Below are 6365 nucleotides of genomic sequence, written 5' to 3' on the forward strand. Positions count from 1 at the left end.
CCTTTGGTTTGATTGGATTCATCATGAGGCAGCATGGGTTTGCACTTGTAGAAATCAAAACTGTTAGGTCAGGTAGTAAAGCCAATCCTTGAACTTACATCTTTAGTTAAGGCATCAAAGAATTGTAAGTTGCTTTGCAATGATGCCATCTCCACATGGTCAGATTCTTCCAGTAAACTGTGCAGATATTTTACAGAATAAGAGCTAAGTTTCAGCATGTCAAGGAATGATCTGTACTCAAGTGTTAGTAAACAAGGGTTTTTTTGTTTGTTTGTTTGTTTTGAGACAGTCTCTGTCATCCAGGCTGGAGTGCAGTGGCATGATCATAGCTCACTGTATCCTCAGACTACTGGGCTCAAGTGATCTTCCTGCCTCAGCCTCCTGCGTAGCTAAGACTACAAGCGCATGCCACCACCCCTGGCTAATTTTTTATTTTTTATGGAGAAGGGGTCTCACTATGTTCCCCCAAGCTGGTCTTGAACTCCTGGACTTAAGCAATCCTCCCACCTCAGCTTCCCAAAGAGTTGGGATTAAAGGCGTGAGCCCCCATGTCCGGCCAACAAGACTTCCTCGTGACTATAATGTGAGCATAATATTAATAGCTCTGAGAGAGAGAAGTGAACCAGAAGACCAACCTCAGTGTCAGGAAGTCTGGGCGTCTGTCTTCTGCATGGCTGAAGACATGGGGCTTTGGGCAAGTCATCTGTTCTCTTTGAACTTTGGCTTCCTCACTTCTGAAATAGGAGGGTCAGAGAAGATGTTTCTTTTTGCTGAAAAGTTTTACAGTTCTCTGATCTATACCCCTTGGTCACACACAACCAAAAAGTAGAAAACATGAGTGCAATACTTTTCCACCAGTACTCCCAGTTTATACATTATCTTCTCAAACCAATAAGGAACTTCTACAAGGCCCTGTTAGTGATGTGTTACAGGTGCCAGCATTAGGGAAACTTTCAGACTGTTATATCTATTCGTTCCTTCATCCATGTATACTATTCATTCTGTATGCAGAGTAATTTATATATGTACAATTACATGGCAGTGAAAGATAATCAGAAAAATGAAGTTTTTTTTTTTTTTTTGAGATAGTTTTGAGACAGAGTCTTGCTCTGTTTCCCAGGCTGGAGTGCAGTGGTGTGATCTTGGCTCACTGCAACCTCCGCCTCCCGGGTTCAAGGGATTCTCGTGCCTCATCCTCCCGAGTAGCTGGGACTACAGACATGCGCCACCATACCCAGCTAATTTTTGTATTTTTAGTAGAGATGGGGTTTTGCCATGTTGGCCAGGCCATTCTCGAACTCCTGGCCTCAAGCGATCCTCCTGCCGGCTTCCCAAAGTACCGGGATTCCAGGCATGAGCCACCATGCCCAGTCAGAAGGTTTTTTTTTAAAAAACACACTCCTGAACTAACAATTACAAAGAGCTAGTGACAATTTCCCAAATAATTATGCATAACAGGAGCCCATATATTGTTCTCAAATCATAAACCATAACTGATTTTGAGGAAAAGACATTCTGTCCCACTGATATTCTTTTCATGAGTAAGATCTGGATCTGTCTGGAGGCACAGAATTAATTTTTGCATGAGGAATCCCAACCCTACCATCATTCCATGGCTGAGGAATTGGTTATTACTCCTATGGGAAATTGGGAATGTTGTTGGTACCCCAGCCTTCTCTTAAGACAAAATTTAACAAATGCATACATGCTAAGATGCTTATACTCATAAGGCTTTGTGGGTCTCCTTTCTAAGGGGAATTTGAATACTAACAAGAACAAAGGCTAAATACCAAAAGGGGGCTTTCTAATGGTAGAATTTGGGATATCAGGTAGCCACATAGAGCAGGGCTACTTTGGGGGCTGGAGACTGCAGAAACCCTTCAGTTTATACGTGTGAGTAAACCTAATCACACTTGATGTATTGCTAGTGAAGTCCCAGCCCCCTGAGCCTTTGCAGAAACCCAAAGAATGCTAAAAAGGGCAGGTTTTAGTTCCTGCCAATTATTTCATTTACTACAAATGCCCCGAGTTCCGAATTTACTTCCCTCCCCACCAGAAATATGTCATTTTGGAGGCTTGTGAAAATTAAGCATTAAGAAAATCCCGCCTCCATCCTAATACACTGCATCCACAAGTCCCAAACAAAATCACTTCCTTGGCCTACACACATAACTACCTGTTTCTGTTTAGGTCTGTGACTCAGAAAGTGCCTGGAAGAAGTCATGAGAGGGAGTCGATCCCATCTTACCTGCCATAGGAAGAATAGGGCCTGCTCAGTAGAGTTCAGTGTGTGTGTTGAAGGTGGTGGTTCTTAGTCCTTCCCTGAATTCACTAATTCGCATTGCACTCACTCTTCCTGATCAATGAGTTATTGCTGAGAAATCATTGTAGTAAGTAATACAGGTATCCCCAGTAAAGCCATCCCTCTCCTCCATACCTCCGCTGTCCCTTGGGTTTTGGCTCCAGGATCCTTGCCCCATGTCCCAAAGAATCCCTACCTTGGGCCTCCCTCCTCCTCTTTTGTCAATTGCACTTGACCTTTTCAGGAAAAAGAAATCAATTGATACCTTAGTCCTAATGTTTGACCCTTTTCTATCTCAGAATAGAGAAGTCCCTGTATTTGTTCTTTTTTTACTCAAGTTTAATATAGACCACCTAGGCACAGAAGCTCCGTGCTATATTCTGTTGCCTGTAATTGTCCTTCCATCTAATTGGGAAAAGGTTACTCTATTGAACCATCTGCTGATTCCCTTACCTTTTCACTCTTTTGTCAGTATTCCTTTACCAGTAAATTCTTGGTTATCTAGGTCCTGAAGTTTCATTCATGTTTTTTTTAAAAGCTTTAATTTTTCTTAGGAAAACTGTTTCTCTCATCTTAAAGCAGACTATGATCTTTTCTACTTTGTTATACAATCTGAACATAATGAACACTCTAAAGTCAGGCATGGATTTTATCATAAAAGCAGATCGTATTAAGATTTTTTTAAAAAAGAACCAGGATTGAGGAATCTGTAGCTAATAATTTAATAATTCACCAGCATGTTTTGGGCTCCCACTTCATGCTGGCCACTGGGCTAGGCACTGAGGGTGCAGAAGCAAACAAATCAGCCTCCTGGCCCTCAGATTTGCATTCCAGTGAGTCCATTCATAAAACCTAACTCAAAGCCAGCAACACCCCCAAAAGGGCTGTTGGAAGCTTTGTAGCTCATCTGTACAGCTGTCTTGATTCCTGTACGGGATCTTACTTTCTTGGGAAAATATGTTCTAAATCCTGTTTCCTTGGGCCATTAAAAATCCATGCTGTCCCTAATCAATATATAGTTATGTGTGACCTTCTTAGAATTAAAAAAATGCCGCTGGACAGCCTTTGAAGGGAAAGGCAGAGAAATCTGTTTTGATGGCTTGAAAATAAGTGAAAAGGTTTTTAGGGAAAGCTAACAAGCTTTCAAAGATTTCAGATCTGCCAGCATTCATTCATTAAGGCATGGGATTAGGCCAAAAGAGCCTCCTACCAAGGGAGAGACAGGAACCATGTAAGGAGATCTGTGAGACCGCAGTGGAAGAGTATTGAAATAGAAGCCAGACCTGTAGACGTATTTGTTAATATGTGTGCCAAGCCAAAGTACAGGAGGAGGCTTGGAGGCATGGAGTTGTGGTGGAAGCAGGTTCTGAAAAGCAGAACTCTGAAGCTGGCTCATTCTCACGAAGTCATCTGGCCCAGCCTCCCGCCTCCAAGCACATCCTGCCTGCAGAGGGTCTGGCTAGCTGCCTTTTCAGCTCTCGAGGGATAGAGATTCTACAACCTCCCTCTGTCATCAGTTCCAGAGCCACTCCCCTTTGCACTAGAAGTTCTTGCTTTCAAAGAATGAGGGTGTGAGGGAGGGAGGGGTCAAGAAACAGAGTGACAGGGGAAACAGGCAGAACAAGTCAGGGCAAAGGACCCCAGCATGAAGAGTTGTGGAGGTGGAGGTGGGGAAGCAGCCTCACATCTCACACTTCCTTCCTTCTCTTAAATGTGAGCAGCTGACTCCAAGCCTTGTGGAAACTCTAGAAGGTAGAACCAGCCATCTGGGGAAGCTGGCCTTACAGATGCCCCGTCTGGCATAGTGGAGGTTCCTGTGCTCTGAGAACGCAGTGTGAATCTAGACATCCACTGCAGCCTGGGAAGAGCTGTGTTTTCTTCAAAAGTCTTTAACTTTCACAGTCACCCCTCTAAAGAAATGTTCTCTGATTGAAGGCATGCTTCTATTCCTACTTTATTGTGTTTCATGCATTCTGCCAGAGTAATTACTTTTCATACCAATTCTTGGATGCAGAGAAATCTCTGGTAGTCTAAGGGGATTTCGATCCAAGTAAAGCTACTATCTCCTATTCCATCCAGACTTTTCCGTCTGCCTCCATTCTCTCAGTCACATACCTAGAAGCAAGCCAGAAAGCCTGTCCAACCAAAATCACTCTCCAAAGCCCAAGCACTTTATTGTTCTCCCTGTCTGTTATCGAGCCAAGGTGTATTTGGCCTCATTTTATGCCATTAGTTGTCTGGCTTTCATGGCTCTGCACCACATTACAGTCAGAGCAGGAAGGCCAGCAGTGGAGATAGAATTATGGCAGAAACCCAGAGTAGAGGCCTCTGCTGGTGAGGGAGCCTGCAGCACTCTCCACGCTGGTGGGTCCTAGCATGCCCAACAGACCCCCATCCCTTCCCATCAGCCTTGGGCCTTGAGTCTCATTCCAACTCATCCCCTCCCCTTTCCCTTCTTTCCAGTCCCAGGTGACACTTGATGCCTCTGACTCCTTTGAAGAGGGCATCAAGAAGTGAAAGAACAAAGTCCTTTTCTGTTCGGGATCTGGGCCCATCCTGGGAGAGGTTTTTGGCAGAAATGGCTGCAGTGGAACCCTCTGACTGCCAGGGTGAAATAGTGCTCCAGCAGGCTGCGGTAGACTCACTGCCAGAGTGGGTCAGGACTGGCCCAGAGGACAGGGTCGTCTCTTGAGAGTCCTCCCAGCTCCAGGGCCTGATTTTAAAGCAGTAACACGAGGATATAGGTTATATACAGGCTCCTGGAAGGCAGGTGCCGCAGCTCCTGTGACACCCCATATGCCTGAGCAAGCTTCTCCAGCACAAGAGATGATGCAAGTATGAATGGGTACGGGGGGAGCTTAAAACCTGCCAACACTGAGACTTGATGCCAGGGGCCGTGCACCCGCTCTGCCACCTGCTAGGTCTGTGCAATGGTCAGAGCAGAGGTGTGTGATGAGTTCAGCTCCCAAGCACATCCACACTTAGGAAGTGTTCTGTGTGTTTTTAAATAATCCTTACCATGTAAAGATTGTATTACATTTGTATACAAAATTTTTTTGCATTTTACTTTTGTAATATTTGGGGTTTTATAGATTTTTATTTTATGGCCAAGTATACTTTTGTAAGGAAATGTTGAAGTCTTGAGTATTTTTATTCTTTTAAAAAACTATAGTTAGTGTCAACTGTGAGCACTGATAAATATTATTCATGTGTGGTTTTCCTTCTTTTTAATCCAGACTTTTTAAGAAACTGTTTTGGCATAGAGCTTTACTTAAAATGCTGCTTCATTTTACACATTGTGAATACTGAAGATTCTAAAAAATAAAGATGCATTTAAAATCTCTGTGCTGTTCCATTGTAGAAATGGTAATGTGCATTGCTTTGCCAAAGTGGTAATTAAATGTTTAATGGTTTAGAACTCCTAGTTCACAACAGGGCTTCTCGTCATCACTTGCAGCGTGTGAGCTTCCAAATAAGCCGCCATTTCTTTGGAAAACGCACGCACTTAGGCATGGCGATCTCCTGTTCCGTTAGGAAATACGGTTATGTTGACATTATGGTTACTGTGCTTGTGGTTTTGCAATAAACATGTATTGAAAGCACTTGTGATAACGTGGTCCGCATTTTGTTTTTAATCAAACTCCAAATGGCAGTAGAAGTGGAGCCAAAGCTTCCTGAGCGTTCGGGCAGCAAGATGTGGTGAGAAAAAAAATACGAGTAAGGAAGCAGAGGCGGCTGGGCCAAATCCTTCTCCTCCGCAGCAAGCCCGGAGACGGGGATTCCGTTGTCTCTTTTGGAAATCCCCTGTCCTCATTCATTTAAAAAACATAAAATCAGGGAGGGAGATAATTACATTTACCTTTGCCTGGATTTTATGGTGTTGGAATAGAGTGAGGAGCACAAAGCTCCTGGCACATTTTGATTGCCTCATACGTGTTCCTGGCCTTCTTCCCTCCCTTCCCTCTTGAGTCTTCAGCGTCTATTCAATGAATGCTGGTTGGGTGAACACACAGTGTACCTATCTTAATGCCATATAGGAAACAGAATTCTTACCCTGATTTTT

General features: G+C 43.7%; 1 long non-coding RNA gene across 1 annotated transcript, besides 1 other annotated feature; it reads left to right on the forward strand.

The window, feature by feature from the left end:
• Nucleotides 1-5904, forward strand: LINC02035 (long intergenic non-protein coding RNA 2035). Its single transcript, NR_024618.1, has one exon. It is a non-coding gene; the product is annotated as a long intergenic non-protein coding RNA 2035 (long non-coding RNA).
• Nucleotides 3908-3997: an enhancer, noted in NCBI's record as "active region_20387". NCBI's record gives its function as "activates an Ori minimal core promoter by ATAC-STARR-seq in GM12878 lymphoblastoid cells {active_cell/tissue: GM12878}" and the evidence as "EXISTENCE:reporter gene assay evidence [ECO:0000049][PMID:35858748]".
• Nucleotides 5905-6365: the final 461 nt, after the last annotated feature.

Source organism: Homo sapiens, chromosome 3 (assembly GCF_000001405.40).
Source record: "Homo sapiens chromosome 3, GRCh38.p14 Primary Assembly".
NCBI lineage: Eukaryota > Metazoa > Chordata > Mammalia > Primates > Hominidae > Homo > Homo sapiens.